Below are 12,741 nucleotides of genomic sequence, written 5' to 3' on the forward strand. Positions count from 1 at the left end.
AGGACACCGGTCTTCGCACAATATACTGTATTAAGAAAATGGGCTAGGCATAGTGGTTCACAGCTGTAATCCCAGGACTTTGGGAGGCCAAGTCAGGAGGAATGCTAGAGGCCAGGAACTCAAAGACCAGCCTGGGAAACGTAGCAAGACTCTATCTCTGCAAATTTTTATTTGTTTTTATTATTATTTTTTGAGATGGAGTCTCACTCTGTCACCCAGGCTGGAATGCAGTGGTGCGATCTCGGCTCACTGCAACCTCCACCTCCCGGGCTCAGGTGATTCTCCTGCCTCAGCCTCCCAAGTCACTGGGATTACAGGCACGTGCCACCACATACAGCTAAATTTTTGTATTTTTAGTAGAGACAGGGTTTCACCATGTTGGCCAGGCTTGTCTCAAACCGCTGACCTCAGGTGATCCGCCTGCCTTGGCCTCCCAAAGTTCTTGGATTACAGGTGTGAGCCAGCACCCAGCCTGCAAATGTTTATTTTTTCAATTACCCAAGCATGGTGGGAGGATCACTTGAGTGCAGGAGTTACAGGTTACAGTGAGCTATGATCATGATAACTCCACTGCATTCCAGCCTGGGCAGGAGAGGCAGACCCTGTCAAGAAGGTTGCGGGGGTGGAGAGAGAGAGAGAGATAAGAGAGGAAGAAGAAGGAGTTGGAGAGGGAAGAGGAGGAGGAGAGAGAAGAGGAGGGGGAGGGGAGGGGAGAGGAAGGGAGGGGAGGGGAGAGGAAGGGAGGGGAGGGGAGAGGAAGGGAGAGGAAGGGAGGGGAAGGGAGGGGAAGGGAGGGGAAGGGAGAGGAAGGGAGAGGAAGGAGAAGGGGAAGGGAAGGGAAAAGGGAGAAGGGAGAAGGAGGGTAAAAAAAAAAAAGGAGCAAACACAGGTCTTCTTTGTACTGCTCCATAAACACCCACTGGGTCGGCCAAAAAGGTGGCTGAAAGTTATTGCAGTGTTCTTTTGCTTTAAAAAATTGAAACTGAATTGCTCATACATTAAAAGGATAAAAAACTAAAAACTTTGGGAGACATTTAAAACAGGGTTATCTCAAAACCATGGTTAAATAAATGTCAACTGACAAAGTATTACTGAATTACCCATTCCTTTTCCTTCTCCCCATAAGGGAAAACTAGCTTTCAGAACAGGACAAAGAAGAGAAAGCCATAAGAACGAACAATAAGTGCTTTTTAAAAACCATCTTCTTTTCTATAAAACTTTTCCATAAAGTCACAACGTAAGAGAAGGTTGAGGCGCCTGATTAAATAAATTAGAAAAAAGGCTTTCCAAACCACCAATATGAAACCAACTATCGTACTTAAAACCTAGGAAATATAAAACAGAATGGGAGGGGAAATGGTCTTCAGTCCAGTTACAATATCTGTATTGCCAGCCTTACAGAATAGGAGAACTCTTCTAAGTATAAAACTATACAGATTTGTGTTTATTAATTTACAGATAGAAGGAGGTCAAAGATAAAGAGGGGTTTTACTCAGAGGTATACCCCACCTCACAGGTGAAATTTAATTTTGGACATAAAAAGTGATAGTTGTACCCAGAGGCTCCTAATCCAAGCTGGTCTTAATATTTCCTTGCTCCAAGTGTCATTCCATAAGATTTCCTTTTTAGGCAGGGAGAACAAATTTTTTCTCTGGAAATAGCCAAATATGTCCTTTTATATGGAATGCCTCAATTACACAGAAAATTATTAGATTCTCTGAGTAGTTCTTAAAGCCTCCACATGGTCTTCACGAATGATTTATACCCAAGTGCTTTCCTGAAGGAGCACGTGAAACTCACATGGGGCTGTGCTTGGAGGAGCAGAGGCGAGGCCAGAGTCCGGACATAAGCATGCTGAACAGGTCAAACAAAACAAGGGCGATGTAATGTTGTACTTAAATACTTAAAGAAACCCACATCTGTTTTCTCGATTTCAAATGGCATGAATAGGTTTGCCTTTCAGATACTAAAAGAAAATGTGGCCTTTTACAGAACGTATGTTCAGTTGGAGGTATCATCTTGACTTCTCTTCTGGTCATGGCTTGTTACAGATTTGGCACTTTTCACTTGACCTGAAAGGAAACAGATTTTAAAATTACATTTAATTAGTTTGCAATATGAAACAAAATGAAGCCAGTTTTTAAGACAATAAGAATGGAATAAATTAGATTGTCCCAGGCTGAACCAGCTACTAATTCAACCCTAGTGTTGTTGGTATGTCATTCAAATAGTCTCTCCTGTTCACTATATTTAAAGCTGTGAGGTCACATTTCCCATATAATCAGTATTATTGTCCCTAGTTCTGCCATTGATGAGAGTAACTTTGAATAAACCGCTAAACCTCTGTTGTCTTCACTTTCTTCACTGCAAAGTCAGGGTTCATTTCAGAGGTTCCATCAAGATCTAACATTCTGTGATATGAAGGTGCTTAGAGAACATGTGATATAGGGGGTCGGGGGAGAGAGGCAAATCTTCACAGGTGAGAAGGGAAGGAGGGGGGATTGTTGGGCCAGGTTAATGGTACTGGTGGAGAGGTGGGAATAACCGTATATCCAATAGTCCCAGCTACTTAGGAGGCTGAGGCAGGAGGACTGTTTGAACCCAGGAATTCAAGTTCAGCCTGGGTAACATAGCAAGACCCTGTCTCTAAAAAAAAAATTGTAATTGAAAAACAAATTAAGATATCACAAAATCTTAAAAAATAAAAAATAATTCAGGTCTTAATTATCTCACTCTTAAACTATACTCACTTTCTCTAGTCTCCTCTCCCTCCAATCCATTTTGCAAACAAGCCCAGATTATCCTCCGTACTTAATCTCTCTTCTCTCCCACCCCAAAGCCTTTAAATGACATCCCACTGCCCAAAAAATAAAGCCGAAACTTCTAAGTTTAAAATTTAGTAGTTTTAATAAAATGATCACATGTTAACTTTGCAAAAACTCTATTTTCTACATTTCTACTGTACCTTGACACAGACTCAGCTACAATCAGCCACATGGGTACTGGCCACTTCCTTATTCCCCACATTTCCACTTTTGATCATAATACTGTGCTTTCATTCTGGAATCTCCTTCATACTCCACACTGGCTATCCATCCTCTCAGGAAACTCTTCTTTCTTCATGATGCTTTATCTTTATACTTAGGCTTCTCTGATCATATAGAGCACTTAGATTATCTTTTCAGGTATGTTCTACTCACAAACTAAGTGGTAGGCTCCTAGGAGAGTGCTATGTGTGTGCTCAACAGATCATATGATTCATGTTAGTTCTAGATGGCAAGAAACATTATGTCATACTGTAATATCTGGACTAGGTTAAGTGTCTTAACCTTTAAAAATCCACAACTCCTTTTTGATAAACATAAAAATCTTAGGTACTGATTATCCACATGCAAAAGAATTAAATTGGACCCCTATGGCCTAATACATACATACACACACACACACACACACACACACACACACACACACACACACAATAAAAATATATATCTCAAAATACATCACAGAACTAAACATTAGTGCTAAAACTACAAAACTCTCAGAAGAAAACATAGAATTAAATCTTGGTGACCTTGGATTGGCAATGGTTTCTTAGGTATGACACAGAAAGCAGAAGCAACAAAGGAAAAACAGATAAATTGAACTCAATCCAAATAAAGTTTTTTGTGTTCCAAAACATAATTAAGAAAATGACAAGACAATCCAGAGAATGGGAGGAAATAGAATCATATTTCTGACGAGAGACTTGTATCAAGAATACATAAAGAGCTCATATAACTAAAAAATAAAAAGACAATCCAATCTACAGGTGGCAAGGACAGGTGTGGTGGCTCACACCTGTAATTCCAGCACTTTGGGAGGCCGAGGCAAGTAGATCACTTGAGCCCAGGAGTTTGAGACCAGCCTGGGCAATATGGCAAAACCCTGTCTCTACAAAATGTAGAAAAATTAGCCAGGTGTGGTGGCATACCGCTGTACTCCCAGCTACTTCAGAGGCTGAGGTGGGAGGATTGCTTGGGCCCAGGGAGGTTGAGGCTGCAGTGAGCTGTAACTGTGCCACTGCACTGCAGCCTGGGCAACAGAGTGAGAGCCTGTCTTAAAATGAAAGAAAGAAAAGAAAGAGAGAGAGGGAGGAAGGAAAGAAGGAAAGAAGGAAAGAAGGAAGGAAGGAAAGAAGGAAGGAAGGAAGGAAGGAAGGAAGGAAGGAAGGAAGGAAAAGTTTCTTCCCTTTAATGACCAGGAAAAGAAAAAAATAAAAATGGGCAAGCAATTCAAATAGATATTTCTCCAGAGAAAATACAGAAATGGCCAGTAAGCATGAAAAGATGCTCAGAATTGTTCGTAATTTGGGAAATGCAAATCAGAATACATTAAGATACCACTTCATACCCACTAGGATGGCTAATTTTTTTAAAAAAGACAATGACCCTCTCCCTCTCCCTCTCCCCACGGTCTCCCTCTCCCTCTCCTTCCACAGTCTCCCTCTGATGCTGAGCTGAAGCTGGACTGTACTGCTGCCATCTCGGCTCACTGCAGCCTCCCTGCCTGATTCTTCTGCCTCAGCCTGCCGAGTGCCTGCAATTGCAGGCGCGCGCCGCCACGCCTGACTGGTTTTCGTATTTTTTTGGTGGAGACGGGGTTTCGCTGTGTTGGCCGGGCTGGTCTCCAGCTCCTAACCGCGAGTGATCCGCCAGCCTCGGCCTCCTGAGGTGCCGGGATTGCAGACGGAGTCTCCTTCACTCAGTGCTCAATGTTGCCCAGGCTGGAGTGCAGTGGCATGATCTCGGCTAGCTACAACCTCCACCTCCCAGCCGCCTGCCTTGGCCTCCCAAAATGCCGAGATTGCAGCCTCTGCCCGGCCGCCACCCCGTCTGGGAAGTGAGGAGCGTCTCTGCCTGGCCGCCCATCATCTGGGATGTGAGGAGCCCCTCTGCTCGGCTGCCCAGTCTGGGAAGTGAAGAGCGCCTCTTCCCGGCCGCCATCCTGTCTAGGAAGTGAGGAGCGTCTCTGCCCAGCCGCCCATCGTCTGAGATGCGGGGAGCACCTCTTCCCCGCCACCCCGTCTGGGATGTGAGGAGCACCTCTGCCCGGCCGCGACCCCGTCTGGGAGGTGAGGAGCGTCTCTGCCCGGCCGCCCCGTCTGAGAAGCGAGGAGCCCCTCCGACCAGCAGCCGCCCCGTCTGAGAAGCGAGGAGCCCCTCCGCCCAGCAGCCGCCCCGTCTGAGAAGTGAGGAGCCCCTCCGCCTGGCAGCTGCCCCGTCTGGGAAGTGAGGAGCATCTCCGCCCGGCAGCCGCCCCCTCTGGGAGGGAGGTGGGGGGCAGCCCCCGCCCGGCCAGCCGCCCCGTCCGGGAGGGAGGTGGGGGCTCAGCCCCCGCCCGGCCAGCCGCCCCGTCCGGGAGGGAGGTGGGGGGTCAGCCCCCCCCCCGGCCAGCCGCCCCGTCCGGGAGGGAGGTGGGGGGTCAGCCCACGCCCGGCCAGCTGCCCCGTCCGGGAGGGAGGAGGGGGGTCAGCCCCCGCCTGGCCGCCGCCCCGTCCGGGAGGTTGGGGGGCGCCTCTGCCCGGCCGCCCCTTCTGGGAAGTGAGGATCCCCTCTACCCGGCCACCACCCCGTCTGGGAGGTGTACCCAACAGCTCATTGAGAATGGGCCATGATGACGATGGCGGTTTTGTGGAATAGAAAAGGGGGAAAGGTGGGGAAAAGATAGAGAAATCAGATTGTTGCTGTGTCTGTGTAGAAAGAAGTAGACATGGGAGACTTTTCATTTTGTTCTGTACTAAGAAAAATTCTTCTGCCTTGGGATGCTTTGACCTATGACCTTACCCCCAACCCTGTGCTCTCTGAAACATGTGCTGTGTCCACTCAGGGTTATATGGATTAAGGGCGGTGCAAGATGTGCTTTGTTAAACAGATGCTTGAAGGCAGCAGACTCGCTAAGAGTCATCACCACTCCCTAATCTCAAGTACCCAGGGACACAAACACTGTGGAAGGCTGCAGGGTCCTCTGCCTAGGAAAACCAGAGACCTTTGTTCACTTGTTTATCTGCTGACCTTCCCTGCACTATTGTCCTATGACCCTGCCAAATCCCCCTCTGTGAGAAACACCCAAGAATGATCAATAAAAAAAAAAAAATAAATAAAATAAAATAAAATAAAGAAAGAGCTGAACCTGTTTGTCCCTGGGAAACAGAAACTGTGGAAAAGGGGCTCTACGGCCACTATTTTCCTAAATTTTGTATAACTATCTCTGAAAACATCTATCTGCAGAACTTTGATAAAAACTACAAATTGAAACCAGTTTTAAATTTCAATTTCCAAATAGTTATAGCTTCAGTAAAGTGGAATTCTTACCATCATAAATATGATGGAATTATGCAATATATTCCAACATTTCCATTTAACATATTGGACAGCCACTTTCATAGATTTCGTATGCAAATCTGCCTGCTTGCTAAAATCAATACTCCTGGTACTTTTGCAGTCATTTACAGATATGCACAAAGCAGAGAAAAATCTGAGGTTCCCAACACACATGTTCCCAGCAAAGGCTGAACAAGATGACACTATCTTCTTAAATAAGACAGCTATTATACCATAAACAAGGGTCCTTTTTGAGGTGTAGTGTCCTGTTTTTGGCTTTTTTTTCTTTTTGTTGGGATTTTGTTGTTTTATTTTATTTTATTTTATTTTTGAGACAGAGTGTAGCTGTTGCCCAGGCTGGACTGCAGGGGCATGATATCAGCTCACTGCATCCTCCACCTCCCGGATTCGGGTGATCATCCTGTCTCAGCCTCCTGAGCAGCTGCAATGACAGGTGCACGCCACCGCATCTGGCTAATTTTTTTGTATTTTTAGTAGAGACAAGGTTTCACCAGGTTGGCCAGGCTGGTCATGAACTTCCAACCTCCAGTAATCCACCCGCCTCAGCCTCCCAAAGTGCTGGAATTACAGGCGTAAGCCACCGCACCCGGCCTAGATGTTGTTGTTTAAAAATGCCCCCCCAGACCGGGCGCGGTGGCTCACAAGGTCAGGAGATTGAGACCATTCTGGCCAACATGGCGAAACCCCATCTCTACTAAAAATGCAAAAATTAGCTGGGCGCGGTGGCACGTGCCTGTAATCCCAGCTACTCGGGAGGCTGAGGCAGGAGAATCGCTTGAACCAGGGAGTCAGAAGTTGCAATGAGCTGAGATTGCGCCACTGCACTCCAGCCTGGCGACAGAGTAAGACTCCGTCTCAAAAAAAAAAAAAAAAAAAAATGCCCCCCAAGTGTAGTGCTGAAGTGCGGTCTAGTGCTCCTAAGTGCAAGAACGATTTAATGTGTCTTACAGAGAAAATACTGTGTTAGGTAAGTTTCATTCAGACATGAATTATAATGCTGTTGGTTGTGAGTTCAATGTTAACAAAATTAACAATAAAATTAAATAAGGTGACTTTAAATAGAAAAAAAAGACAATGACAAATACTGACAAAGATGTGGAGAAATTTGAATCTTCATGTACTGCTGGTTGGAATATAAAATGGAAATCAGTTTATAACTCAGCAATATACCAAAGAAAAAGGAAAACATGTGACCACACAAAAATTTTCATACAACAGTTCATTGCAGCATTATCTATAATAGCCAAAAGAGTGGAAACCCAAATGTCCATCAATTGATAAATAGATTAAATTTGGGCCGGGCACGGTGGCTCACACCTGTAATCCCAGCACTTTGGGAGGCAGAGGCAGGCGGATCACAAGGTCAAGAGATCAAGACCATCCTGGCTAACATGGTGAAACCCCGTCTCTACTAAAAATACAAAAAATTAGCCAAGCATGGTGGCGGGCGCCTGTAGTCCCAGCTACTCAGGAGGCTGAGCCAGGAGAATGGCATGAACCCAGGAGGCGGAGCTTGCAGTAAGCCGAGATCATGCCACCGCACTCCAGCCTGGGCAACAGAGTGAGACTCCATCTCAAAAAAAAAAAAATAGATTAAATTTGTACCCACAAAATGGAATATTATTTAGCCATAAAGCAGAATGAAGTACTGATACATGTTACCACATGGATGGACATTAAAAATATTATGCCAAGTGAGAGAGGCCACCACGAAAGGCAACACATACTATATTATTTCATTTATAAATGTTCAGGGGCAGGTCCAGAGGGCAGCCATCCTAACCCAACCTGCCCTGCCCCCAGAAAAAAAAGTTAAAAAAAAAATGTTCAGAGAAGGCAAATCCAGAGACAGAAAGTAGATTAGTGGTTGCCAGGGCTTGAGGGAGGGAAGAATAGGAAGTGACTGCTAATAGCTATAGGGTTTCTTTTCAGAGAGGTAAAACTCGAAAGTTAGATAAGGGTGATAATTACACAACTTTGTGAATATACTGAAAACCACTGAATTGTACTCTTTAAAATGATTAATTTTAAGGTGTGAGAATTATATCTCAATAAAGCTATTATTTTAAAAAAATGTTAGGGGTGTGCCTGCCACCAATATTCTGATACGTTCACCTTTCTGATTCTTAGGATAGTATTCCCACAGTAGGTTTTTCCCGAAATATAGAATTATAATACTGAAACTGCTTTTTAAAATGCTGCCAAGAGGAACTGAGATGGCCGATTAGAAAAAGCTGCAGTCCACAGCTCTCATGGAAAATAAAAACAGTGAGTGAATTCAGCACCTTCAAATGAAATATCCAGGTTCTTCCATTGGGACTGACTAGGCAAATGGCTTGACCCAGAAAGAATGAAGAAAAGTAGAGTGGGGCAATGGCCCACCCAAGAGCAGCACAGAGCCAAAGGAACCCCCACCCCCAGCCAAGGGAAGCAGTGAGTGATTGTGCGACCACTCACAATGTACGTGTGGCTTATCTGCTTGAGGAGTAAGTAAAGTGAGAAACCACACTTCTCACACAGATCTTTGCAACCCACCGATCACGAGATCCCCTCATGAGCCCATGCCACCAGAGCCTTGGGTCTGATACACAGACCTATGTGGAGTCTTGGCAAAGCAGATGCTCAGGCTCACACAGAGACCCAGGAGTTTTACATACTCTGGCCCCAGGAATCCCAGCAAGGCAGGAGATCCATTTATATGCTCCCCTAGGAATAGGGCTGAATCCAGAGAGCCAAGCAGTGTCATTTTGTGGGCCCCACTTCCACGGCACTTCACAAGTTAAGACCCACCACCTTGGAATTCCTGCCAGACAGCGCAACAGGCTGGAGACTGCCTGAGATGGATGAGTTCCCAGAGGGTAGAGGCAGGTGCCATCCATTTCTGCAGTTTGTTCAACTCAGCCCTTCTAGCCTTCCAGCTCTGGGGAGTTCAAGAAGTCCTGATGAGGAGGAGTCCTGCACAATGCAGCACAGCTGCTGTGCCAGATTGTGGCCAGATTGCTTCTTTAAATGGGACCCCAATGCATCCCCCTTCACTGGGTGGGGCCTCCCTGCAGGAATTACAGCAACTCCAGCCAGGGTTATACAGACATAACTCTGATCTCTTTTAAGATGGAGCCACTGTGGGGAGGGATGACCGATGTCTCTGCGGTTCAGTCAACAGCCTTTCGGCCTGCTGGCTCCGGAGAGTCCAGGCAGTCTGGATGAGCAAGGGCTATCCCCAACACAGCACACCTGCTCTACCAAAAAGCAGCCAGACTGCTTCTTTAAGCAGGTCCCTTATCCCATCCCTCCTGACTGAGTGAGACCTCCCAACACGGGTCTTCAGATACCTCCTACAGGAGTGTCCAGGCTGGCAACAGGTCAATACCCCACTGGGACAAAGCTCCCAAAGAAAAGAGCAGGTTGTTGTCCTTGCTGTTTCACAGGCTTTACTTGCTGAAACCTCCAGGTAGAGGAAAAGCCAAGGCAACTTCCAGCTTTCTGGAGCCATCCCCCAGCAAACTGCAGCAGCCCTACAGAAAAGTGGCCTGACTTTTAAAAGAAAAACACACAAACAGAAAGCAACAGCAGCAGCAGCATCAACAAAAAAGGCCTCAAAAAAACTCCATTCAAAGGTCAGCAACCTCAAAACTCAAAGGTAGATAAGCCCACAAAGATGAGAAAGAATCAATGCAAAAATGCTGAAAACTCAAAAAGCCCAAGTGCCTCTTCTTCTACAAGTGACTGCAACACCTCTCCAGCAAGGGCACAGAACTGAGGCCAAGATGGCTGAAATGACAGTAGGCTTTAGAAGGTGGGTAATAATGAACTTCACTGAGCTAAAGGAACACATTGTAACCCAATGCAAAGAAGCTAAGAATCATGATAAAACAATACAGGAGCTGAAAACCAGAATAGCCAGTTTAGAGGGGAGCATAACTGACCTGATGGAGCTGAAAACCATGATGCAAGAAGTTCACAATGCAAACACAAGTATCAATAGAAGAACAGACGAAGAGGAGGAAAAAATGTCAGAGCTTGAAGACTATCTTTTGAAATAGGAAGACAAGAATACAGAAAAAAAGAATGAAAAGGAATGAACAAAACCTCTGAGAAATATGGGACTACGTAAAAAGACCAAACCTATGACTGATTGGGGTACCTGAAAAAGACGGGGAGAATAAAACCAAGTTGGAAAACATACTTCAGGATATTATCCAGGAGAATTTCCCCAACCTAGCAAGACAGGCCAACATTCAAATTCAGGAAATCCAGAGAACCTCAGTAAGATATTCCATGAGAAGATCAACCCCAAGACACATAATCATCAGATTCTCCAAGGTCAAAATGAAAGAAAAAATGTTAAAAGTGGCCAGACTGAGAGGCCACATCACCTACAACGGGTAACCCATCAGACTAACAGTGGACCTCTGCGTGGAAACCCTAAAACCAGAAGAGATTGGGGGCCAATATTCCACATTCTTAAAGAAAAGAATTTCCAACCCAGAATTTCATATCCAGCCAAACTAAGCTTCATAAGCAAAGGAGAAATAAGATCCTTTTCAGACAAGCAAACACTGAGGGAATTTGTCACCACCAGCCCTGCCTTGCAGGAGCTCCTGAAGGGAGCACTAAATATGGGAAGGAAAACCCATTACCAGCCACTACAAAAATAAACTGAAGTACACAGACCAGTGACACTTTGAAGCAACCACATAAACAAGTCTGCAAAAATAACCAGCTAGCATCATGATGACAGGATCAAATTCACACATAACAATATTAAGCTTAAATGTAAATGGGCTAAATGCCCCAATTAAGAGACACAGAATGGCAAGCTGGATAAAGATCCAAGACCCATCAGTATGCTGTCTTCAAGAGACCCATCTCATGTGCAAAGACACACATAGGCTCAAAAAAAAGAGATGAAGGAAAACTTACCAAGCAAATGGAAAACAGGAAAAAAGCAGGGATCACAGTCCTAGTTTCTGACAAAACAGACTTTAAACCAACAAAGGTCAAAAAGGACAAAGAAGGGGCTGGGCATGGTGGCTCATGCCTGTAATCCCAGTACTTTGAGAGGCCAACATGGGTGGATCACCTGAGGTCAGGAGTTCGAGACCAGCCTAGCCAACATAGTGAAACCCAGTCTCTACTAAAAATACAAAAATTAGCCAGGTGTGGAAGTGGGCACCTGTAATCCCAGCCACTCGGGAGGGGGAGGCAGAAGAATCGCTTGAACCCAGGAGACGAAGTTTGCAGTAAGCCGAGATTGCACAATTGTACTCCAGCCTGGGTGACAAAGCAAGACTCCATCTCAAAAAAAAAAAAAAGACAAAGAAGCAAAGAAGGGCATTACATAACAATAAAGGGTTCAATTCAACAAGAAGAGCTAACTATCCTAAATATATATGCACACAATACAGGAGCACCCAGATTCATAAAACAAGTTCTTAGAAACCTACAAAGAGACTTAGACTCATACACAATAATAATGGGAGACTTTAACACCCCACTGACAATATTAAAAAGACCATCCAGACAGAAAATTAACAAAGATATTCAGGACCTGAACTCAGCTTTGGATCAAGCACACTTGATAGATATCTACAAAACTCTTCACCCAAAAACAACAGAATATACGTTCTTCTCATCACCACGTGGCACTTACTCAAAAATTGATCACATATGCAGAAGTAAAACAGTCAGCAAATGCAAAAGAACTGAAATCATAACAAACTGTCTCTCAGACCACAGTGCAATCAAATTAGAATTCGATGCTAAGAAATTCACTCAAAACCACACAACTGCATGGAAATTGAACAACCTGCTCCTGAATGACTCCTGGGTAAATACTGAAATTAAGGCAGAAATCAAGAAGTTCTTTGAAACTAATGAGAACAAAGAGACAATGTACCAGAATCTCTGGGATACAGCTAAAGCAGAGTTAAGAGGGAGATTCACGGCACTAAATGCCCACATCAAAAAGCTGGAAAGACCTCAAATTAACAACCTAACACCACAACTGAAAGAACTAGAGAACCAAGAGCATGGACACAGGAAGGGGAACATCACACTCTGGGGACTGTTGTGGGTTGGGGGGAGGGATAGCATTGGGAGATATACCTAATGCTAGATGACGAGTTAGTGGGTGCAGCGCACCAGCATGGCACATGTATACATATGTAACTAACCTGCACATTGTGCACATGTACCCTAAAACTTAAAGTATAAAAAAAAAAAGAACCAAGAGCAAACAAACCCCAAAGTTAGCAGAAGACAAGAAATAATCAAAATCGGAGCAGAATTGAAGGAGACAGAGACACAAAAAAACCCTTCAAAAAAATCAATGAATCCAGGAGCTGGTTTTTTGGAA

The 12,741-nt window shown here is 44.8% G+C and overlaps 1 protein-coding gene across 7 annotated transcripts in view; it reads right to left on the reverse strand.

Annotated features, from left to right (window-relative positions):
- Positions 1 to 192: 192 nt before the first annotated feature.
- ANKRD45 (ankyrin repeat domain 45) overlaps positions 193 to 12,741 on the reverse strand; it is a 106,850-nt gene continuing 94,301 nt past the window's right edge. For all 7 annotated transcript variants that reach the window (NR_158771.1, XM_017001123.2, XM_047419195.1 and 4 more), the window contains one exon: positions 193 to 2,072. Coding sequence is in view for 6 of the 7 variants with exons in the window: in XM_017001123.2 (XP_016856612.1) it covers positions 2,002 to 2,072 (71 nt within the window). In the remaining variant the exon portion in view is untranslated. The remainder of the gene's footprint in view (positions 2,073 to 12,741) is intronic.

Source organism: Homo sapiens, chromosome 1 (assembly GCF_000001405.40).
Source record: "Homo sapiens chromosome 1, GRCh38.p14 Primary Assembly".
In the NCBI taxonomy this organism is placed as follows: domain Eukaryota; kingdom Metazoa; phylum Chordata; class Mammalia; order Primates; family Hominidae; genus Homo; species Homo sapiens.